General features: G+C 40.0%; 1 protein-coding gene across 7 annotated transcripts in view; it reads right to left on the bottom strand.

The window, feature by feature from the left end:
- The window catches only part of SLF2 (SMC5/6 complex localization factor 2), a 52,172-nt gene that overhangs the window by 6,394 nt on the left and 20,061 nt on the right, over positions 1-25,717 (bottom strand). For 6 of the 7 annotated variants that reach the window (XM_047425461.1, XM_047425462.1, XM_011539944.4 and 3 more), the window contains exons 10-18: positions 21,264-21,339; positions 20,005-20,146; positions 14,613-14,715; positions 13,235-13,411; positions 11,605-11,702; positions 10,894-10,981; positions 8,534-8,665; positions 7,988-8,065; positions 2,204-2,290 (exon numbers count right to left, since the gene is read on the bottom strand). In XM_047425461.1, the coding sequence (XP_047281417.1) occupies positions 2,204-2,290; positions 7,988-8,065; positions 8,534-8,665; positions 10,894-10,981; positions 11,605-11,702; positions 13,235-13,411; positions 14,613-14,715; positions 20,005-20,146; positions 21,264-21,339 (981 nt within the window). Of the gene's footprint in view, positions 1-2,203; positions 2,291-7,987; positions 8,066-8,533; positions 8,666-10,893; positions 10,982-11,604; positions 11,703-13,234; positions 13,412-14,612; positions 14,716-20,004; positions 20,147-21,263; positions 21,340-25,308; positions 25,341-25,717 lie in introns of those variants that run through there. The other variant, XM_047425463.1, reaches the window with a different exon arrangement.

Raw genomic sequence — 25,717 nt, 5'->3', positions numbered from 1 at the left:
TTAAATTTATAAAGTAAACTACAATCTATGCTTTTTTCTTCATCTACAGTTCAAATTTCTCCAAAACAATCACCAACTTTTCTATAATAGAGGCTTTTGGAGAGGCAGGCAACTCATCTATTTCAGCAGGACCATCCCTTGAAGCAATTTCCACAGACCACTGTGTCGCTTTCCACTTTAAGTAAGAGAAGCACTGGCAACAATCTGTGCCAAGCCCTTGTCTTTAAGAAACATAAAACTTGGGTGGTCCCCTTTTAGCATGGCTGTCAGTAGTAGCCACTACCAAGTTCTACAGGCCAGCAATTCTGGTCAATGAATGCTCAAAAGAATGTGCTTCTGAAACTAGAGTTCTACTCTTGGGGAAAGAGCTATCCCCTACATGTATTTGAAAATCAGAAATCTGATAACTTCATTAGTTGCTTATTTTTGTATTTAACTTAAATTTACTAAAATAAATACATATGTTAAATCTGAATGGGCATTGTTCAAATGACTAACCTTTGCAGCTAATTAATGTAAGATATTAAGTTACAAAGCTGAGGCTTCACATTCAATGACTATCCAAAGACAAGAGGCAAAAAGAATCAGCATTGTATTACATTATCAAAGCTAAAAGATAATCTTGGAATAAAAAAATCTTTAGAAAAAAGTATGTTTATTTTATTTTGTTTTATTTATTATTATTATTTTTTGAGACAGAGTCTTGCTCTGTCGCCCAGGCTGGAGTGCAGTGTCGAGATCTCAGCTCACTGCAAGCTCTGCCTCCTGGGTTCAAGGGATTCTCCTTCCTCAGCCTCCTGAGTAGCTGAGACTACAGGCACGCACCACCACACCTGGCTCATTTTTGTATTTAGAAAAAAGTATTTTAAAAGTGTCTGATTTTATGTTTCAGGAAAAACTGTCAAATCATTCTATTAATACTAACATTATTTTCCTACTCCATACTCATATATTTGGCTTTTCTACTGTCTTTGAGTATATAAAACCTTTAAGAAAAAAAGCTTAGCAAGCTTAGTGCTGAAATCATTTCCACCCTAGAGCTCAGACTAGGTGTTGTACGACCCAAAGATTTGAAGACTCCTGGCTGGGTGTGGTGGCTCACACCTCTAATCCCAGCTCTTTGGGATGCCGAGGCAGGCAGATCACGAGGTCAGGAGTTCGAGACTAGCCTGGACAACACAGTGAAACCCCGTCTCTACTAAAAATACAAAAAAAAAAAAAAATTTGCCGGGCATGGTAGCGGGCGCCTGTAATCCCAGTTACTTGGGAGGGTGAGGCAGGAGAATCGCTTGAACCTGGAAGGCGGGGGTTGCAGTGAGTCGAATTTGTGCCACTGCACTCCAGCCTAGGCAACAAGAGTGAAACTCCATCTCAAAAAAAAAAAAAAAAAAAAAAAAAAAAAAAAAAAAATTGAAGACTCCTTCCTTTAACATATTCTTCAATGAAACATTCAAAGAATAACAGCTAATCTATTTGTACTCTATGAATAAAACAAGTTTTCAACCATCATAAAATTTCAAAGCCACTGTTTCATAACTTACGTATTTATTTAAATAATGCTTCAATCCTTGATGGTAACTTAAGCATGAAGGTTTTAATTTGTGTAATGGGGAAAAATATGTATCATTAGTACTAGAAGTATTTTTCTCCTTGGGTGTCAGGAGTTTCAGAACAGAAAGTAAAGTGAAAAGTGTATTTGCTTTGAGATTTTTTTTCCTTTCACTTTTAATTTAGCTACACTAATTTAGCAGGAGCTGATTTCTGTTATTAAAAGAGAAAGTCCTATTTCTAATCTTACATGTTTCTTTTTGTTTTCGAGACAGAGTCCTACTCTATCTCCCAGGCTGGAGTGCCATGTGTGTTCATAGCTCACTGCAACCTCAAACTCCTAGGCTCCAGTGATCCTCCTGCCTCAGCCTCCCAAGTAGCCAGAACTACAGGTGCATGACACCATGCCTGGCTATTTTTCAAAAATTTTTGTAGAGATGGAGTCTTGCTATGTTGCCCAGGCTGGTCTTGAACTCCTGGCTTCAAGCAATCCTCCTGTCTCAGCCTCCCAAAGTATTGGGATTACAGGCATGAGCCACCATGCCTAGCCTTATATGTTCTTTTTCTGAATATAGGCCTGTATGCTTCTATCCTTAAATATTAACGTAACCAAGATTAAGAAAAAAAAAAAGAAAAAAAGAAAGAACACACTTACCTTAGTTCTGTAAAAAAGTCTTGCATCTTCCCTAATATCACATTTAACATGCTTTTCCAAAGCCCCACAGAGTAGCACAAAGTGTTTCTGTGCAAAACAAATGCAAGGGATGAAAACAATTCTGAAGCATTACAAATTAACAAAGAAATTATGCAGCTAGAACAACTAAATCATTTAAAAATCTATTATTCCTGTTAGCAATGACTGATATTAACTATTCAACGTAACAGTAGTTGTATCAGTGAAAGCTGCTTCCATGACAATAAGATTACTAGTTTAAAAAATACACACTGTAACAAAAGTTGTTTTGCTATGCATTAACTCGCATTAATGAAAATTAACCCCAGAGCTCTAACTGGGTAATATAGTACTCAGAAATTTAAAGAGTCCTTCCTTTAACATACTCGCTAACAAAATATTCAGACAACGGCTAGCCTTTTAAAAAAAAAAAAAGAAAAAAATTTTTTAAAGAAATGGGGTCTGGCTCTGGTGCCAGGCTGGAGTGCAGTGGCACAATTATAGCTCACTGCACCCTTGAACTCCCCAGCTCAAGTGCTCCTCCAGTCTCAGCCTCCTGATTAGCTAGGATTACAGGCATGCACCACCGTGCCCAGTTCTTTTTTTTTTTTTTTGAGACAGAGTCTTGCTCTGTCACCCAGGTTGAAGTGCAGTGGTGCGATCTCAGCTCACTACAACCTCTGGCTCCCAGGTTCAGGCGATTCTCTGCCTCAGCCTCTTGAGTAGCTGGGATTACAAGTGTGCACCACCATGCCCAGCTAATTTTTATATTTTTAGTAGAGACAGGTTTTGCCACGTTGGCCAGGCTAGTCTCAAACTCCTAACCTCAGGTGATCCACCTGCCTCAGCCTCCCAAAGTGCTGGGATTACAGGTGTGAGCCACCGCGCCCAGCCAATATTTTTTTAATTTTTAAATTTTTTTTGTGGAGACAGGGTCTCACTTTGTTGCCAAGGCTAGTGTCAAATGCATGGCTTCAAGTGATCCTCCCACTTCAGACTCCCAATGTGTTGAGATACAAGCATGAGCCACTGCGACTCGCTAGCACAACACTGGCCCATTTGATATTTGGTGATGTTGGTATCTTATGAATGTATTATACTGCTGCCAAGGTATAATGGTTAAATTCCACTCCAACAAACAGAGCTAACATTTGTTGACAAATAATGTTTTCAATATGACATGATTACAAGACCACTATCATGCCCCTCTTTCTGGTATATATGGGAATTCTTATAGCAAAATCAGTTTGTGACTTTTTTTTTTTTTAAGAGATAGGGTCAGCCGGGCGAGGTAGCTCACACCTGTAATTCCAACACTTTGGGAGGCCGAGGCGGGCAGATCACAAGGTCAGGAGATCAAGACCATCCTCACTAACATGGTGAAAACCCGTCTCTACTAAAAATACAAAAAAATTAGCCGGGCGTGGTGGCGGGTACCTGTAGTCCCAGCTACTCGGGAGGCTGGGGCAGGAGAATGGCGTGTACCCGGGAGGCAGAGCTTTCAGTGAGCCGAGACTGTGCCACTGCACTCCAGCCTGGGTGACAGAGTGAGACTTCATCTCAAAAAAAAAAAAAAAAGAGAGTCTTGCCTTGTTATCCAGGCTGGAGTGCAATGGTGGGATCATAGCTCACTGCACCTTTGAACTCATAGGCTCAAGTAATCTTCACATCTCAGTCAGTCTTCTGGGTAGCTGGGACTACAGGTACGTGCCACCACACTTAGCTAGTTTTTGTTTTTTTGTAGAGACAGCATCTTGCTATGTTGCCTAAGCTGGTTTTAAACTCCTAGGCTCAAGCAATCCTCCTGTCTCTGCTTCCCCAAGTGTTGGATTACAGGCATGAGCCACCACACCTGGCCTATTTTTTTTTCTATAGGAACAAGATAACCTTTCATTAATAGAGGTTCATACTTAATTCTTTGAAAAATTATGCATCTTAAATTTTAGAAATGTATAGACCTAAGCAGTTCTCTCACATATACTTGGTGAGAACGTAAATGAACACTTTCTGGGATGAAAATGTGATAATAGCGATTTAAAATAATTAAAATTTGAAATATTTATAAACTTTGATCTAACAATTCTACTTCTAGGAATTTACCTTATAGCTATGCTTGCAGAAGTGGGCAAAGATATATGAATAAGCATGTTCATATTAACACTATGTGCAATCACAAAAAACATACTGTTTATCAATAAAGGTTTCAAAATACTATAGTTATTAGATAGAAGTACAAATATTTGATTTTTTATATATTTTTTTGAGACAAGGTCTCACTCTGTCACCCAGGCTGGAGGGCAGTGGCATGACCACAGTGCATGGCAGCCTCAACCTCCTCAGGCTCAGGTGTTCCTCCTGCCTCAGCCTCCCAAGTAGTTGGGACTACAGGCATGCATCACCATGCCCGGTTAATTTTTTTTTTTTTTGTAAAGATGGCATGCTGCTCTGTTGCCTAGGCTGGACTTGAACTCCTGGGCTCAAGCGATCTGCATGCCTCGGCCTACCAAAGTGCTAGTATTACAGTTGTGAGCCACTGCGCCCAGCCAAGTGCTAATGTCTTAAAGAGGAGGCCGGGCACAGTGGCTCACGCCTGTAATACCAGCACTTTGGGAGGCTGAGGCGGGTGGATCACTTGAGGTCAGGAGTTCGAGACCAGCCTGGCCAACATGATGAAACCCCGTCTCTACCAAAAATACAAAAATTGGCCAGCATCATGGCACATGCCTCTAGTCCCAGCTACTCGGGAGGCTGAGGCAGGAGAATCACTTGAACCCAAGAGACGGAGGTTGCAGTGAGCTGAGATCGTGCCACTGCACTTCAGCCTGGGTGACAGAGCAAGACTGTCTCAAAAAGAAAAAAAAATTTTTTTTTAAAGAGGAAAAAAAGGAAGTTGCAAATGATACTATGATTACATTTTTGTTAAAATAATTGTTAGTATATTATATGTAATATATTAGTAAATTGTGAAGAAATTTACAGGAGGGCACTGGATTGTAGGAGTCTTTCAGGTTTTACTTTATATAAGTTTTACAATAATCACTAAATTTTTTTTTTTTTTAAACAGAGATGGCATTGCCCAGGCTGCTCTTGAACTCCTGGGCTCAAGTGATCCTCCTGACTCAGCCTCCCAAAGTGCTGGGATTACAGGCATGAGCCACCATGCCCAGTCACTGACTTTTTTAATCATAAAAAGTAATTTATAGCCGGCATGGTGGATCAGGCCTGTAATCCCAGCACTTTGGGAGGCCGAGGTGGGCGGATCACAAGGTCAGGAGTTCGAGAGCAACATGATCAACATGGTGAAACCCCATCTCTACTAAAAATACAAAAATTAGCTGGGTGTGGATGTGGTGGCAGGCGCCTGTGATCCCAGCTACTTGGGAGGCTGAGGCAGGAGAATCGCTTGAACCTGGGAGGCAGAGGTTGCAGTGAGCCAAGATTGTGCTAGTGCACTCTAGCCTGGGTGACAGAGCAAGACTCCGTCTCGAAAAAAAAAATGTATAAAATATAAAAACCATGTAAGAACATTACAGATGACTATATTAGCTTCTAATCAGAAGAGCAAACACTTTTTGTTTTTGAGACAGAATTTTGCTCCTGTTGCCCAGGCTGGTGTGCAATGGCGTGATCTCAGCTCACTGCAACCTTCGCCTCCTGGGTTCAAGCAATTCTCCTGCCTCAGGCTCCCCAGTAGCTGGGATTACAGGTGCCCACCATCACGCCCGGCTAATTTTTGTATTTTTAGTAGAGACAGGGTTTCACCATGTTGGTCAGGCTGGTCTCGAACTCCTGATCTCAGGTGATCCACCCGCCTCAGCCTCCCAAAGTGCTGGGATTACATGTGTGAGCCACTGTGCCCAACCGCAAACACAGTTTTATATACAACAGCATTTATAAAAACATAAGAATTAGTCTTGTGTCTTTTCTATCATGTCTAGGAGATACTATGTATTTTTTTCTTTTTTTTTTTTTTGAGGTGGAGTCTCCCTCTGTTGCCCAGGCTGGAGTATAGTGGTGTGATCTCAGCTCACTGCAACCTCCACCTCCTGGGTTCAGGCAGTTCTCCTGCTTCAGCCTCCAGAGTAGCTGGGATTACAGGTGTCTGCCACCATGCCCAGCTAATTTTTTTTTTGTATTTTTAGTAGAGACAGGGTTTCATCATGTTGGCCAGGCTGGTCTCGAACTTCTGACCTCAAGTGATCCGCCCGCCTTGGCCTCCCAAAGTGCTGGGATTACAGGCATGAGCCACCACGTCCAGCCTAAGGTTTTTTTTTTTGAGATGAAGTCTCGCTCTGTTGCCCAGGCTGGAGTGCAATGGCACGATCTTGCCTCACTGCAACCTCCGCCTCCTGGGTTCAAGCGATTCTCCTGTCTCAGCCTCCCGAGTGGCTGGGATTACATGCACGCACCAACACGCCCGGCTAACTTTTTGTATTTCTGTAGAGACGGGGTTTCACCATGCTGGCCAGGCTGGTCTTGAACTTCTGACCTCAAGTGATCCACCCACCGCACCCTCCCAAAGTGCTGGGATTACAGGGGTGTGCCACCGTGCCCGGCATGTCCGACCTAAGTTTTAAAACAGGAATTGGAATAGTTAAGATATGAAATAAAAGGAATTAAGCAAGATCTTTCCCCAGGAGTATGGGAAGAATAATTCAAAATGAAAATCTGAATATTAGAAATGCATTTCCAAAGCAGCCTGCCTTACCATCAGTTTAATTTTGAAGGCAAATGTTATTTCTAAAGGAACAAAAGGGGAATGGCAAAGAAATGGGAAGAAACGAGCTAAAAGCTGGCTGTATGGCAGATGCATCTGACAGCAATAACTAAAGCATACTCTGAAAATGAACCTATGGTCTAAGAAGAATGTGTAACTGGAGTCCCAAGCCAAATAATCTGGGAGTGGCCAACATGGAGTTTCACTCCTTACCTATGAAGGACATCTGAACCCCCGGCTCATCCCTTGTAAGGCCATACGGGATGCAGGCCCTTTGTTCTTGGTTACATGGAGGTTGCTAGGTAAAGGGTGCTAAGTGAAAATGCTATGTAAACTGCATGGTCTCTACAGATGGTAGCAGTTCTCCTGTGTAGCCTGCTGCCACCTGACTGCCATTTCTACTGGAGTCAATATGGGTCCAGCACAACACCAGCCCATTTGGTATTTGGTGATGTTGGTATCTTATGAATATATTATACTGCTGCCAAAGTATAATGGTTAAGTTCCACTCCAACAAACAGAATTAACATTTGCTGACAATTCTTTTCTTCTTTTTTCTGAGATGGAGTTTCACTCTTGTTGCCCAGGCTGGAGTGCAGTGGCGCAATCTCGGCTCACTGCAACCTCCACCTCCCGGGTTCAAGCGATTCTCCTGCCTCAGCCTCCCGAACAGCTGGGATTACAGGCACCTGCCACAACGCCTGGCTAATTTTTTTGTATTTTTAGTAGAGATGGGGTTTCACCATGTTGGCCAGGCTGGTCTTGAACTCCTGACCTCAAGTGATCCACGCACCTTGGCCTCCCAAAGTGTTGGGATTACAGGCGTGAGCCATGGCGCCTGGCCAACAATTCTTTTCAATACGATATAGTTACAAGACCATTATCATGCCCCTCTTTCTGGTATACATGGGAATTCTTATAGCAAAATCAATTAGCTTTTATATTAAGAAAAGTTTACATAGTTTTCTCCTATATAAAGCATGCTCACTCATTCCATCATCAGTAACACCTATTTAAAAACAGCAGCAACAACACTAAACACTACCTACCCGTTGTCCAGAAGAAAAAGAATGAGAACAACTAACTTCACCGACTAAATGAAGAAGAATGTAGGTCAGGTAATATGCCTGTTAGAGAAATGAATAAAATTAACACCTATGAATTAGCTAGCATAGATGTCATTCCAATTTACACATTAGGAAAATTGCCCAGGAAGGATAAAGGATACGGTCAAGTTAACCCAGCTGGTCAGTAAGTAAAAGCGAAGCATCTAAACTAGGCTTTCTCATTTCTAACTCAAGTGCATTCTTTTTACCATGATTCATGACCTCACGACTGCCCTAATAAAGGGCTACAAAAAATACTCTTGGGAGCAAATTACCAACAATCATCCTTTTACCTAAATTTTCAACTCTCAAATTTATGGAAGAATTTCATGACAGTGATAAATTAAAAATATTATTCGCTTTAAAATTATGTTTGCTAGAATGTGTCTAGTGTCCAAATCCAGAAATGCCTACATATCAGTCTATGGTTAGTAAGCTGATAACAGTTATGCTTCTATGTACTCTTTGAGACCTTCTAGCACTGGATACCTGCTTTTCAAGTTCTAAATGAAGACTGTCATCAATAATGCCATCTGGTTGTTCAGCCTTTTTCTTCAAGACCATTTTCTTTAACAAATCAGAAGGCTTCATCTGCACAAGATAGCGATGTAGGACTGATACCTATCAAAAGAAAGAGGAGACATTGAACAAAGCTAAATAATATAGTTGTTCTTTCTTAGGCTATTTTTTTCCAGTGTGTACTCTTTCATTTTGTCCTTTTATTATAGCTTTCTTTACACTTAACAATATCCATTTTCCCTTTATGTAAAACCCTGAATTGCTTAAAAAGGGATTTTAAGTGGTCGGGCACGGTGGCTCACACCTGTAATCCCAACACTTTCAGAGGCCAAGGGAGGTGAATCACCTGAGGTTAGAGGTTCAAGACCAGCCTGGCCAACGTGGAGAAACCCCGCCTCTACTAAAAATACAAAAATTAGCTGGGCATGGTGGCACATGCCTGTAGTCCTAGCTACTCGGGAGGCTGAGGCACGAGAATCACTTGAATATGCGGGGTGGAGGTTGCAGTGAGCCGAGATTGTGCCACTGCATTCCAGCCTGGGTGACAGAGCAATACTACATCTCTCAAAAAAAAAAAAAGGGATTTTAAGTTAAAGATTTAGTACTTGTAACTTAGGATAAATGCTTAGGAGACCAAACGATATTATCATAGAGGCCACAGGGAATGCTTTCTCTGTTAAATTATTTGAAAGTCAACAAAGTTGACTCTGTGGTTAGAAGTCATTGAATTCTGAGAAGAACTACAAGAAGTTGTGGTAAAAATCACAACTAGATTGTTACTTGAATATCAGTTAGTGAGTTTGAGGGTTAATTATTCATGTAATTATTCAGCTAATTATTCTATTTTACATGGGCAAAAAAGGAAAAAGTAACAGAACAACAAAAGTTAGGAGAAATGGTAGAAATCCTATCCCCGGATCTCTTTTGAAGGCAGTAAATATCAATGAAAGGAATGAGAACTATCTGCTAATTATCCTGGTAGCTCCAGCATGATCCCCATATATCTGGAATCAAATCTACCTCAATTCTACTAAAGCAGAAACCAGCTGTGCCCATCAGTCTCTCCATCCCACAGCATCTCGTGCATGCTTCGATTACTGTTCTTACCACACTAACCCATAAGAGTTGGTTAATTTTGTTTCAACCATTAGATTATGTTTTCAAGGGCAGAGTCTCTAATCTAAATCTTTGTTTGTTTTAATTCCTAGGATCTGGTGGCATACCTTGTACCAAATTGCAATTCAAACAAGAACAAAGGGACATCCAGATCAGGTTCTATGGGGCTTTTTTTTGAGACAGAGTCTCGCTCTGTTGCCCAGGCTGGAGTGCGGTGGCGTGATCTCGGCTCACTGCAAGCTCCACCTCCTGGGTTCATGTCATTCTCCTGCCTCAGCCTCCCGAGTAGCTGGGACTACACGTGTCCGCCACCATGCCCGGGTAATTTTTTTGTATTTTTTTTAGTAGAGACGGGGTTTCACCGTGTTGGCTAGGATGGTCTTGATCTCCTGACTTCGTGATCCACCTGCCCCGGCCTCCTAAAGTGCTGGGATTACAGGCGTGAGCCACTGTGCCCATCCTATGGTGAGTTTTCAAATCCAAGCAAGGGCAGCCCCATTAGTGCTATCAATGTTTATAAAAAGCCTTCAGAATTTTACTCAGAGTGGGACTTCCATTGGACATTTTTTTTAATTAAAAACATTCATATATATATTAAAGACAAGGTCTCCCTATGTTGCTTAGGTTGGACTTGAACTCCTGGATTCAAAGGATCCTCTGGCCTCAGCCTCCCAAGTAGCTGGGACGATAGGTGTGTGCCACCAGTACCCAGCAACAGCTGGACATGTTTATCCACACTCTCATATATACATGATATATTCTTACTGAACAAGTACTAGAGGGCAACTACATTTAAGCTCTATGATCTAAAAAGACTCATTTTAAAACAGGTTAAAGATGCAATCAATGTACAAGGGTTTTGCAATTTCTAATCTTGTGATAAAATTGCTAACTTGGAAAAGCTGAACTAATTCAATAAATGAAATCATATTCATATAATTGCACATTATGATTTTCCCAGTAGTTTCTTTATACATTAATTCACATCTGATTGTCCACAACCACCCTAAGTGGTGGAGGGTGCAATATTATCTCCATTTCACAGATGAAAAAATTGGATCTTGTTAGTTAAGTGTGCTAGAGATTACATGAACAGTATCAAGCTTAAGAGCTGAGCTCTGACCCCAGGACCTTTGACTTAGGGTTCATCAATTTTCCTTACACCTCTCATTACCTCTCCCATTTATTAAAAATAAAAATGTATTTATTTATACCTGCAGATTACTGGCATTAGGAACATCTTCGTGTTTCTCATCCAAAAGCTTTGAAATAATCACTAGACTGAGGCACTGTCTCAGTTGCCTAGAATTAGAAGTTAAAAGTATTTAGAATGTATTTTAATTAATACTGCTTGAAAAGCAAATGAATGAGCCAAGAGGAGCTCTAGTTCTAATTGGAAATATAGGCAATGTTTCAAGAGAAGTCTGTACAGGAACATATAAGCTGTTATAGAACAGTAAAATTTTCATGTAAAATATCTGTACATAAAACTTGAGTTATCTGAAGCTCAATAAATCATTTAACGGCCTTATCTTTGACCCTGATGATTTACTGACAGAAAACCTATTTTTTTACTGATGAAATTTATTTTTACTAAAGCAAAAAAAAGCTAATTCATTTATTTTTGTGGAATATGTCATCTGTATTAAGGTAACAGATAAACTAAAATTAAAAATAAAAAAATATTCAGCTTGGGTGACAGAGTGAGACTCTTGTCTCAAAAAAAAAAAAATTACATAATGACCTGAGTTAAGAATTAGAATAAGGCAGAATCAGGCTATCAATGCCTTTTCTCGCAACTGAATATGAAATAAACATATCTGATCTAACATTCAAAGAATGATGAATGGAAATAAACAACCCAAGGCATTTCATTAATGTAAAATTATAAAATTTCTTAATGTTTAATTTTCACTTTTTAATACCTTCCACGTGATGTCCAATTAGGGACCAGCTGTACCAACCACAGGAGGTTGTGGGGATGACTGGAGAGTTCATTTATGCCCAGACAGAGTTCAGGCACCTGAAAAAAAAGAACATGTAAGATTTCTTTTCAAACAGAACAGTAGAATAAAACACCCAACAGATCATCTACAACCCTTCTTGACATAATGGAAGCACTAGTACAAAACAGAGCACATTTTTAGAAATAGCATGGAGTCTAGAATCTGCTAAAATGTACACAATACACAGATTCAGTTTTACTTATACTATCTTAAATGGACTGAACAGATACATTTAGCAGAATTTCACTTGGCTTTCACGTTTTGTACTACATCATATCTCCCATTGATATTTAAACAGTCCTTCTTGGAAAGATAAACTGATCTAAATACAAATGTGTATGAGAGCTGTACAAGACCATATATGTTCCTGATTTGGGATTTCTTGCACTTTAGGGATCCTATTCCAGTATTTTTAAAAGCCTAACACCTGGCCAGGTGTGGTGGCTCAAGCCTGTAATCCCAGCACTTTGGGAGGCCGAGGGAGGTGAATCACTTGAGGCCAGGAGTTTGAGACCAGCCTGGCCAAAATGGTAAAACCCTGTCTCTACTAAATACACAGAAATTAGCTGGGCGGAGTGGCATGTATCTATAGTCTCATCTACTCGGGAGGTTGAGGAATGAGAATCGCCTGAATCCGGAAGGCAGAGGCTGCACTGAGACAAGACTGCGCCACTGCACTCCTGCCTGGGTGACAGGAGATGCTGTCTTACAGAAAAAAAAAAAAAAAAAAGCCTAACACCCCCAAAATATGTATTACCATTGTGTATCAATTTTTAAAAAAGCGTAACAGTTGCTTCAAAATAATCTGATGAGCAGGGAAAGGAAATATAGGGTCGGTTTTACATTAGGCAAGATTATGTCTCAATTATTGAAGCAAAGTGATACTTAGGAATTTATTATACTCTTTGCCTTACTTTTGCATATTTTAATTTTTCCACCAAAAAAGACTGAAAAATATAATTTTTAAAAAGGCCTAACAAAAATTATACATGTTCATCCTCCATATGGTTGCAGAAGTTCAACTCAAATTCTGGTTGTAGGTATGACTCACTCCATCATTTCATTTAGGTCTCTGCTCCAAGGTTATTTTGGAAAGGCCTTTCCCTGCCAGCCTTATATGAAATAGCATAGCATCTGGTCTTGCTGTACTCATGTCCTGCTTTATTTTCATTTGTAGTACTTAACTACTACCTGACATGATAATATAATCAACATTTACTTGTTTATCTAACCCTTTGACTAGGACAAAAGCCCCATGAAGGCAAAGGCTTTGTCTCTTTCACAGCTCAATCTCTAGCACCTACATTAATGCTTAGTCCATAGGAAATCCCCAATAAACACATTTTTGTTGGATAAAGAGTTGAAGTTTTAGAAAAAATTCAATTATCACGAATTTAAATAATACAGCTCCAGCAAACATTCCCTTCCTCAGTTCATTTTTAATCCGCCAAAGATCTTGAGTTTAGAAACAGTATTAATTCCATATGCACTATGAGTCAAATTGTAATGCTATATAAAAAATGAATAATGAAGTTTTAAGTAACATTACCTTTGTGTTCCAATCTCTGATGTTTTTCATCAGGTTTATCAGGAGGCTTTGAAAGTCTACTAAAGGAATCTGTTTCAGCTGTTTTTCCAAACTCATTTTAAATAACATTAAAATCAGCAACATTATTTCACGATCCTGGTAACCTTCTGGATGTATAGATGTACACAAGCCTAGAAACTGTTTAACATAAATGCACAGACAAAAATATTTTAGGAGGTATATTTTACTTTTAGAGTTTTAATTATAAACTCTTTTTGACAAAAGATGCAAAAAAGAACTATAAAGAAAACAAACATCCGATGTCTAGAGAAAAGAAGGCAAGAACTACTCAATGTTAATAGTTGAATTAAGTGGCATTTTCTTCTCCATTTTCCATTTTTGAGATTTTCTTAATGGTTCTGTATCACTGATTCAATTCAGCAACTAAAAATGTTTCACACTGTCATTAACTCTTTTTTTTTTTATCTTCTTTTTTTTGAGACGGAGTCTCACTCTGTCGCCCAGGCTGGAGTACAGTGGTGTGATCTCGGCTTACTGCAACCTCCACCTCCCGGGTTCAAGTGATTCTCCCGCCTCAGCCTCCCCAGTAGCTGGGATAACAGGCACCTGCCACCACGCCTGACTAATTTTTTTTTTGTATTTTTAGTAGAGATGGGGTTTCACCATGTTGGCCAAGCTGGTCTTGAGCTCCTGACCTCAGGTGATCCACCCGTCTTGGCCTCCCAAAGTGCTGGGATTACAGGCATGAGCCACCGCGCCCGGCCTCTGCCATTAACTCTTGATTACTAAGTTGTATTGTAAGTCTTTTTTCTTCATACATCCTACTTATAAAAAACTATTGGTTTCAAAACTATTTAATGATGTAACTGACTTAAAGTTCTGTTCATCACTAATATTAAAACAAAATAAAAACAGCAAAAACAATTTTTAATACAAAGATTATTGCTAAGAAATTTCAGAGACTGGAAATCACCTGGTAAGAAACTAGAGAGTTTTTTTTTTTTTTTTTTTTGAGACAGAGTCTTGCTCTGTTGCCCAGGCTAGAGTGCAGTGGCACGATCCCGGCTCACTGCAAGCTCCGCCTCCTGGGTTCACGCCATTCTCCTGCCTCAGCCTCCTGAATAGCTGGGACTACAGGTACCCGCTGCCATGCCTGGCTAATTTTTTGTATTTTTAGTAGAGACGGGTTTTCACCGTGTTAGCCAGGATGGTCTCGATCTCCTGACCTTGTGATCTGCCCGCCCTGGCCTCCCAAAGTGCTGGGATTACAGGCGTGAGCCACCGCGCCCGGCCGAGACTTTTTTTTTTTTAAAAACCATTAACCACAGACTAAATGGTTCTAGCTCTGAGCAGAAGACACATAAAAGTTCTTTCCTACCTTAACCACATTTAAAATGTTGGTTTCAGGAAGTGTTGAAAAAATTGGCTTATAAGATGAATCTTCACTTTCTTTCCCCCTTGATGTTGTCTGTGTTTCAGAACTATTGAGAAGTGAGTAAAGCAATGTGAAGTTAGGCACAAAATATATAACTCACTTTAAGAAATTCTGGGCTACTTTTTAAAAACTATGTTTTATCGAGGTATAATTTACATACAATAAAAGGAATGTACCCATTTTAAGTTTTGATAATCATATATACTAATGTAACCACCATCCAAATCAAGAAATAGAACATTTCCATTCCCCTCAAAAGTCTCTTTATGCCAAATCCAAGTCAATCTGCTATCCCTGACTCAAGGCAAACACTAATGATTTCTATCATTATGCATCAGTTTTCTCTTGAACAAGCTACTTTTTATATGGTACTATCCTCATTGCTGTTGGTGTTAGAGAGCTATGTAGAAGATGGCTCTGACTAAAAAGAATTCATAATAGGTAAAAGACTCATAAATGGCCTAAAGAAACTGCTATAGCAATATACAGAAACAATTCAAAGCACTCTAGTTATCAGAGGTTATCAGTGAAGATTCATGAAAAAGGAGATGCATGAACTTAGCTTTCAAAAGATAGATAACATTTTTAATTTTTTGAAAAAATAATACTTTTATATGGTTTTAAAAAATCAAAATATATTAAGGTACAGTATGCTGTGATAAACTGCCCTCCTAGCTCCGTTCTTTATAACCACTCGTTTCCTTCCTAAGATAATTACTACAAGTTTTAGTCCTTCCTTCCATTGGCATTTTATGTATAAACAAACAAATATGAATATATGTCCCACTGTGGTATAAGAAGAAATACATTTGATCTTTGTCCCCAATTCCTGGCACAGAGCTCCTAAAACCTCTGGAATGTCTGATAAGGTAGAAGGAGCCTCTTTTGTTATTTATAATAAGCCCTTTTCAACCATACCTAAATTTATGCTAATAATATTGTGACTCCTAGAGGATGGGGGCTGGTTGCCAGAGTTATCAATCATGTGACTAGAAGGCTGAAACTTTCAGTCCCACCCAGAGGGGTTAAAGATTAAAATGGCTAATGCTTTAATCAACCAGGCCCGTGTAATGGGCCCTCCATAAATACCCTAAAGTTCAGAGAGCTTCTGGATTGGCTAAGGCATCAAATGATGAGAGAGTGGGTGGGGTGGGGTGGGCTCACACCTGAATCCCAGCACTTTGATAGGCTGAGGCAGGCGGATAGCCTGAGCCCAGGAGATCAAGACTAGCCTGGGCAATACGGCAAAATTTGGCTGGGCATGGTGGCTCACGCTTGTAATCCCAGCACTTTGGGAGGCTGAGGCAGGCAGATCACCCGAGGTCAGGAGTTCGAGACCAGCCTGGCCAACATGGTGAAACCCCATCTCTGCTAGAAATAGAAAAATTAGGCTGGCGTGGTGGCGGGTGCCTGTAATCCCAGCTACTCGGGAGGCTGAGGCAGGAGAATCACTTGAACCTGGGAGGTGGAGGTTGCAGTGAGCTGAGATCACACCACTGCACTCCAGCCTGGGCGACAGCAAGACTTCAAAGGCAAAACTCTTGTCTTCTCTATTAAGGAAGAAAGAAAAAAAAATGATGGGAAGGTGGAGTACCTGGAGAGGCCAGGGAAGTTCTATGCACTCCCATCCCCATACCTTGCGCAACGTATCTCTTCCATTTGGCTGTTCTTGAGTTGTACCCTTTACAGCAAACCAATAATAGTAAGTAAACTGCTTTCCTGAGTTCTGTGAGCCATTCTAGCATATTATTGAACATAAATGGGAGGAGGACTGTAGGAACTCCTGATTTATAGCTAGTTGTTTAGAAGAAAAGGAAGCCCAGACTTGTGATTCCATATGAAGTGGTGGCAGTCTTGTGGGATTGAGTCCTTAACCTGTGGGCTCTGTGCTAACTCTGGGTAATTAGAACTAGAATTGCATTAAACTGCAGGACATCTAGTTGGTGTCTACAGGGAACTGGAGAAATGACAATGTGTAGAAAACCTATATATTTGATGCCAGAAGTGTTGTAAATGTAGAGGAAACATTTTTTTACCCTTTATCACTCCCCCTCCACCTTTAATACAAATGTTAGTATATTACATACCTTTGCAGCTTCCTTTTCTCACTTAGCAATGTATCTTGGAGATACTTCCACAGCTACATGTGAAGAACTTGTTTTTCAAAATAGCTGCTTAGTACTTCTTTGCGCCCCTTCCTAGTTGTATAACCTTGGGCAAGTTACTTAACCTCTCCGTGCTGACCTTACTTGTAAAATGGAAATGAAAATCTTACTAGTATTTGTAGTAACTACTAAGTGAGGTACTATGTGAAGCCCTTAGAACAGAGTCTGGCACACAGCAAACACTATATAAGGGCTAGTCATTATGGTGTGGAGGGACAGCAGGCAGATCAATTTGATTAGAAAGCCGACAACAAAACAGAAAACAGGTCAGGGTAAAATCGTAAAGTCTTAAATATAGGGTATAAAGGTTTGAGAATAGTAGAGAGCGAGTTCCTGCAACAGTGAAAATAATACCTTGCAGGTGGAAAGGCCCTGGAAGAAAGATTTTTTTGCCAGGCTAGGCATGAAAAGAGAATCTGAATTAGACTGACTCAGGAAATGAAAAGGAATGAATAGATATGACATAGGTGGAGGAAAAGGAACATAGGGATGTGAGAATTGAAGGGATACAGAATTGAAGGAGGTTAGAATGTATTTAGACTTAAATTTTAAGTCTATGTATCTAGCAGAATAATGGTCAAGAAAAGAATTGTACTAGTATCCCTTAATATCTGAATTTTCTCTATCTAAATATTTACTCTGACAATCTGCAAACATTTTCACTCTACATCTACTATTTGTATAGAGAACTTGCCATGATGAATATGCATATACACACCAGCAAAAATGGGTAAGCTGTGAGTCCTGGTTAAAAAAAGAAAAGTGATGGCCAGGTGCAGTGGCTCATGCCTGTAATCCCAGCACTTTGGGAGGCCAAGGTGTGAGGATTGCTTGAGCCCAGGATTTTGAGACCAGCCTGGGCAACATAGCCAGATCCACTCTCTATAAAAAGATTTAAAAACATTGGCCAGGCATGGTGGCGTGTGTCTGTAATCCCAGGGTACTCAGGAAGCTGAGGCAGGAGGGCCACTTGAACTCAGGAGTTCGAGGCTGCAGTGACCCATAACCGTGCCACTGCACTCCAGCCTCAGTGACAGACCAAGACCTCATCTCATGGAAGGAAGGAAGGAAGGAAGGAAGGAAGGAGAAGGGGCAGGGGCAGGGGGAGGGGCAGGGGCAGGAGCAGGGGCAGGGGAAGGGGGAGAAGTGGGGGAAGATGGGGAAGGGAGGGAAGGGAGGGAAGGAGGGGAAGGAAGAGAAGAAAAGAAAGAGAACAGTGAGTGGGGTTGTATCTTAACAAGTTCAAGCCAGGCACAGTGACTCACGCCTGTAATCCCAGCAGTTTGGGAAGCTGAGGCCGGCGGATCGCCTGAGCTCAGGGGTTCGAGACCAGCCTGGGCAACATGGCAAAACTTCGTCTCCACAAAAAATAAAAAAATATTAGCTGGGCGTGGTGGTGAGTACCTGTGGTCTCAGCTACTCAGGAGGCTGAGGTGGGAAGATCACTTGAGGCTGGGAGGTGGAGGTTGCTGTGAGCTGAGATTGTGTCACTGCACTCCAGCCTGCGCAACAAAGCAAGACCCTGTCTCAAACAAACACACACACACACATTTCCAGACTCATGCTCATGTTGTTTAAACAGGCATTTTGTTACACAGCACTCATTCCTTCACCAGATCACTTTTGTTAAGCTTGTGCCCATCTTTACTCACCAGTATACAACAATAGTGACTATAGCCACTACCAGTTTATTTCCACTACTGTACATGCTCACTAAAGTAAGAAAAATTCAAATTGTTGTATACAACATACAAAATTACTACACACTACTGAGTTCACTAAATGTTAAATAATAAAGTAGGAGGTATGTTAAATGTTTATATTATGCAGAAACTTGTGGTAACTTTTAAAATGTAAGTGTTTAAGAACATTCTTGTAATATTTAGGGGAAATAGTTGGGATTTTTGGATGGGCTGGGTAAACTATTTTTCCTATTTAAAGTGATGAAACATAGTCTCTAGCTGAAATGTTGCTATCCAACATATTTTCAGATACAGATTACATCTGAGTAACCAGGGATCCTATATGGAGTAGAAAGAGAATTTTCATAATGTTTAAGTGAAAACATTCAACTTTTTCCTCTTTTATTTCCTTTACCTTTCCATTTTTACTTCCTTTTCTGTGATCAGTCTATTCATTTCCTCTGCCCATTTTTCTAATAGGTATTGATCTTTTTCTTATTGACTTGAAATTAATACTTTGTCTGTAACCAGTTTCCTTTTTTTTTTTTAGATGGAGTCTCACTCTGTCACCCAGGCTGGAGTGCAGTGGTGTGATCTCGGCTCACTGTAACCTCCGCCACCCGGGTTCAAGTGATTCTCCTGCCTCAGCCTCCCAAGTAGCTGGGACTACAGGTGCGTGCCACTACACCTGGCTAACGTTTTTGTATTTTTAGTAGAGACAGGGTTTCACCATGTTGGTCACTGGTCTCAAACTCCTGACCTCAAGTGATCCGCCCGCCTTGGCCTCCCAAAGTGCTGGGATTACAGGCGTGAGCCACCATGCCTGGCCCCCACCTTTTTTTTTTTAAAGACAAGGTCTCACTCTGTCACCCAGGCTGCAGTACTGTGGTGAACTCGCTGCAACTTCCAATTCCCGGCCTCAAGTGATTCTCCTGCCTTGGCCTCCCCAAGTGTTGGGATTACAGGTGTAAGCCACCACACCCAGCCCAGTGTATCTTTTAACTAGTTACACTTCAGATATTTGAAGGTTATTGATTTCTCTTTACTAATTTTATACCCAGACACCCACACCAAATTTTCTTAGTTATTTGTCATAGTTTTTCACCTGAGTCTTAGGCTTCTATGTCTAGATTAACTCACATCTACAAATAATCTTTCAGCAACTCCTTTCCAATTTTTGTATCTCTTGTTTTTTTTCTCTTGTCTAATTACTTTGGCCAATACTTCCACCAAAACAATGTTAAATAACAAAGGAAAGTCTTTTAAAAAAGAAAACAAAACTTTTATGAGAATATTTCTATTATTTGCCTGCTAAACATGATGATGGCTTTTAGATTAAGACATGTTAAAAATGTATCTAATTCAAGATTGATCTCAACTTTGAGAGATCTTTTTAAAAATCAGAAATAAATATTAAACTTTAGCTATAATTATATATAAGTCGTACGAAATGATATTTTTGGCGTTAATTATGATGAGAAAACTTACACTAGATAGTCTTCATTAAAGTCTGGCTGAAGATTCTCCAGGGGAAACAAAGATCTAAAATCAATCCCCATATTGAAAAACACAGCTGCTACATCAGACAATGATGGGATCCATGGCCAAACTGGTGAGTCACTGAAGGTATCTAATTAACAGAAGAAAACATTTCATTCTAAATCTGTGGTCTACAAACCCACATTTGCAAGGTGACAGTCTGCAGGTGAAACATGAATAATTACAATGGTTTTATAGAAATGACAGCTGCTAATTTTATGCTAACAATACAGTTATAGGATGATCATAGGAATTACAGATTCCCAAATAAAATAAGAAAATGACATAAAGAAAATATCTGAGAGTGATGGATAAAAGGGTGTAACTCAGAAGGAAGTAACACATTTTAAAATGGCTGGAAATACCACTGATAAAATCCCAACTATCAATAACACAGGAAGACTTTTTATCATCTTCATTGCCTTTATAGTCCCAATCCCCAGGACAGATGAAACAGGTAAACCACTATGCTTGTTTTATTATAAGGGCTCTCAAAGATGAGAAAGCAAATGTTACACTTTTACAGTGGATGCTTTCAATATGCCTTACTGTATTATCAGTATAATACTGTTGCTTACCAATAAGCCAATTAAACTTAATTGGCTAAGTAAGTTTGGAACCATTTCCACTTATCAAGCAAAGTAAGCCATGATTTGGTAAACAGTAAGTGAGGGTTTCCACTTGCAAGATCTTATATTCTTTTTCTCAATGCAAGTAAGAAAATTCAGATACTCGTTGTTTAACTGAAGTTCCATTTCATTATTAAAGACTTTTGAGGTCGGGTGAGGTGGCTCATGCCTGTAATCCTAGCACTGTGGGAGGCCAAGATGGGTAAATTGCCCGAGCTCAGGAGTTCCAGACCAGCCTGGGCAGCAAGGTGAAACCCTGTCTCTACTAAAATACAAAACAATTAGCTGGGTATAGCGGTGTGTGCCTGTAGGCCCAGCTACTTGGGAGGCTGAGGCACGAGAATTGCTTGAACCAGGGAGGTGGAAGTTGCAGTGAGCTGAGATTGTGTCACTGCACTTCAGCCCGGGCGACAGCAAGATTCTGTCTCAAAAAAAAAACCAAAAAAAACGACTTTTGATTAGAAAAATAATTTTGTATTGTATATTTCCAAATATACTAACATTTAGCAATGTGAAAGATACCATGTAAATAGCAACCAATAATACACACGGTAAATCTTAATAAGTTGATATACTTACCATTTCTAATTGTTATTTCCATCAATGTACTTAAAATCTGCACTGACACAATACAGTCTGTATGAACTGACATCATCTGTCAAAAGCAGAGAAATGACAGGATATTAAGAAGAAAGAAAACACAAACATTCATTATTTGCTAGGCACATATAAAGTTGTTTTATGTAGGCCAGGCGCAGCAGTTCATGCCTGTAATCCTAGCACTTTGTGAGGCTAAGGCGGGCGGATACCTTGAGCTTAGGAGTTTGAGACCAGCCTGTGCAAGACGGCAAAACCCAATCTCTACAAAAAATACAAAAATTAGCCAGGTGTGGTGGCGCACACCTGTAGTGGAGGACTGGTTGAGACCAGGAGGTGGAGGTTGCAGTGAGCCATGATTGTACCACAAAAATAAAAATAAAATACAATAAGATAAAATAAAAATAAAGGCATTTTATGTGCATTTAATACTAATGATAACCTTATGAAGTAGTACTCATTACACATATGAGCAAATAGGTTCAGAGAGATTAAATATTCTACCCAACTAATATATATGATACGTGGAGAAGGTGGAATTTAATTCTAAAGTCAGAGCTCTTTACATTCTAACATGCTGCTTTTTTTTTTTTTACAACTTTCATTTATAATTAGACAAATATAACATTTGAAACTATCAAAAAATGTCTTTTTAGTATACAGCATGACATGAAACCAAAAAACCACAAAGGAAAAGGCTGCATGCAAAAATCAAACCACAAATTAATAAGATACAAATATACAAAATAATATACCAACATAGTTTTTCAAAGATGCTCAATATCACTAGATCAAAGAGATGTAATAAAAACAGTAAGATATCACTGGCTGGACGCGGTGGCTCAGCCTGTAATCCCAGCACTTTGGGAGGCCGAGGCAGGCGGATCACGAGGTCAGGAGATCGAGACCATCCTGGCTAACATGGTGAAACCCTGTCTCTACTAAAAATACAAAAAGAATTAGCCAGGCGTGGTGGCGGGTTCCTGTAGTCCCAGCTACTCGGGAGGCTGAGGCAGGGGAATGGTGTGAACCCGGGAGGCAGAGCTTGCAGTGAGCTGAGATCGTGCCACTGCACTCCAGCCTGGGCAACTGAGCAAGACTCCATCTCAAAACAAAACAAAACAAAACAAAACAAAACAAAAAAAGATATCACTGATTGACTTCAAAATTGGCAATGATCAAGAATATCGATAATACCCTAGTATTATCGATTTTCTAGTATTCATAAGAATACTAGAAAAGAGGAAAGCAGTCTTAATGCCTCAGGTGAGTGTAATTTGGTTAAAACTTTTACACTAGGGCCAGGCGCAGTGTCTCACACCTGTAATCTCAGCACTTTGGGAGGCTGCAGTGGGAGGATCATTTGAGCCCAGGGGTTCAAGACTGGCCTGAGCAACATGGCAAGATCCCGCCTCTACAAAAAATTTTTAAAAATTAGCTGGGTGTGGTGGGGCATGCCTATAGTCCCAGCTACTTGGGGGGCTGAGGGGGGAGGATCACTTGAACCTGGGAGGTTGAGGCTGCAGTGAGCAGTGATCGCACCACTGCACTCCAGCCTGGGTGACAGAGCAAGACCCTGTCTCAAAAAAAAAAAAAAAAAGAAAAAAAAAAAAACCCAAAAAATCCAAAACAACTAATTGGTAATATTTATGCCAAGTTATTATTTTATACTTTCATCTAGTTAGTCTTTGTACATACAGGAATTCAGATGCAAATAATATGCCTGTAATGCCTTTTTACATACAGGAATTTAGAAACAAATAATATACCTTTTTTTTTTGAGACAGAGTCTCACTCTGTTGCCCAGGCTGGAGTGCAGTGGTGCAACCTTGGCTGACTGCAACCTCTGCCTCCCAGGTTCAAGCGATTCTCGTGCCTCATCCTCCCAAGTAGTTGGGCCTATAGGCCTGCGCCACCATTAGGCTAGAGACGGGTTTCTCCATGTTAATCAGGCTGGTCTTGAACTTCTGGCCTGAAGTGATCCACCCATCTCATTCTCCCAAAGTGCTGCGATTACAGGCTTAAGCCACTGCACCTAACCTCTGATATAACTTTTTTTTTTTTTGGGACAGAATCTCGCACTGTCACCCAGGCTGGAGTGCAGTGGTGTGATCTTGGCTCACTGCGACCTCCGCCTCCCAGGTTCAAGCGATTCTCCTGCCTCAGCCTCCCCAGTAGCTGGGATTACAGGCACCCACCACCATGCCCGGATAATTTTTTGTATTTTTAGTAAAGACTGGGTTTCACTATGTTGGCTAGGGTGGTCTCAAACTCCTGACCTCGTGATCCACCTGCCTTGGCCTTCCAAAGTGCTGGGATTACAGGCATGAGCCATCACGCCCCGCCTGACATAACTTTTTACAAGACAATTTTTTGGGAACAAAAATCTCAAGTTTAAAAAAAATTTTTTTAAATCATTTAACAAAGTAATTTTATAGTGGATTTGTAGAGGAACACATATTGTATTTCTATTATTATCTTTTTCATTTGCTTAGAAGCCATAGATTGTAATACATTTAAATTTAAAATGTAAAGGGTTGCCGAGCACAGTGGCTCACACCTGTAATCCCAGCACTTTGGGAGGCCGAGGCAGGCAGATCACTCGAGGTCAGGAGTTCGAGAGCAGCCTGGCCATCATGGTGAAACCCCATCTCTAATAAAAATACAAAAAAAAAAAAAATTAGCTGGGCGTGGTGGTGGGTGCCTGTAATCCCAGCTACTTAAGAGGCTGAGGCATGAGAATCGCTTGAATTCGGGATGTGGAGGTTGCAGTGAGAAGAGATCGTGCCACTGCACTCCAGCCTGAGAGACCAAGAGAGACTCTGTCTCAAAATAAATAAAATAAAATAAGATAAAATAAAATAAAATAAAAATGTAAGGAGGAGTAACCTGAACTCTACTTTCAAACAGTCATATGGCTTGTGTCATTTTGAACACAATCTATGTGAAAAAAAAACTTCTGCTATGATGTTTGTGCTGTTAAGCTCTGCCACTAGGAGGCAACACCATTCACAGACATGTTACACATAGGACAAGGTTTCTAACAATCTTTTTGCGGTGGGTGAAAAATTCCACGGTGGGAAATACAGTGATTTCAGATAATTAAGTAAATGTGTAAAGGAGTATATACAGCAATCTAATGTCTATCAGTTGAGATTGGGTTAAATAAATCATGGTATAGCCTAACAAAGGAATACTATGAAGCCACTGAAAAGGATAACGTATCAACACTCTGAGATGAAATGCTCAATAATTTACTGCTATCTGAAATAAACAAGTTATAAGACACATTCACATGTTCTGTTTATGTTAAGTTACATGGCAATTTTTGAATGCAGAGAATACTCTAGAAAACACTGACCAAAATGTAACAGCTCCAGAAATTAGGACTTGGGAGTTCAGCCTTCTTATTTTAATTAAAAAAATTTAAACTGTTCACTCAAACAGATTCTGACAGAAACTTCTTTTTAAAAATATTTTAGGCTGGGTGCAGTGGCTCACGCCTGTAGTCCCAGAACTTTGGGAGGCCGAGGTGGGTGGATCACTTAAGGCCAGGAGTTCGAGGCCAGCCTGACCAACATGGTAAAACCCCATCTCTACTAAAAATAGAAAAATTAGCCAGGTGTGGTGGCACAGGCCTGTAATCCCAGCTACTTGAGAGGCTGAGCAGGAGAATTGCTTGAACCTAGGAGGCGGAGGTTGTAGTGAGCAGAGATCACGCCACTGCACTCCAGCCTGGGTGACCAAGTGAGACTCTCTCTCAAAAATAAACAAACAAACAAATAAATAAATAAATTTTAATCTCCTTTCCATTTTACTTGAACTTTTCATAATCAAACCTGAATTCCTTTTGAAAATTGTTAAAAAAAAAAAGTACTAACCTTTTTCTGGTCTACTACATTTAGACACTCATGATAAAATCACAAAAATGCAAGGATTTTAATTACATTTTAACATTAAACTTACAAAATACTGGTTAGGAGTATAGCATTAAAATGAATTGACATAATTTCTAAAAACTACTTACAAGTTGGTAAAGCCTCCCACGATGAAAACGGACTTGGAATCAAAAAAGGAGAAATGAGACAGTGTCTTACACAGGGAAAGTGTTTAATGAATGATTAGTCTGGTTTTCAGAAAATAAATATGAAATGTATTAAAAAACTGCTTAAATGAAGGTATGCTTGTATGTCATAATTAGGGTTTGAATGGCTATAACAATGGGCCCACATCAACAAGAGGCAAATTAACATAGATAAATGCAAAGTCTTACTTGGAGGTTTAAGAAATGATATACACAATTAGAGAATAATGAAGCCCTGGCATAACAGTAAAGGAAATTTTTTGTTTGTTTTTTTGATATGGGGTCTTTCTCTGTTCCCCAGGCTGGAGTACAGTGGCATGATTAGTTTTGAACTATAATAAGTAGAAATTTG

This window comes from Homo sapiens, chromosome 10 (assembly GCF_000001405.40).
Source record: "Homo sapiens chromosome 10, GRCh38.p14 Primary Assembly".
Lineage (NCBI taxonomy): Eukaryota > Metazoa > Chordata > Mammalia > Primates > Hominidae > Homo > Homo sapiens.
The sequence above is the reverse complement of the archived record's forward strand: the minus strand, read 5'-3'. Positions and strand labels throughout refer to the sequence as shown.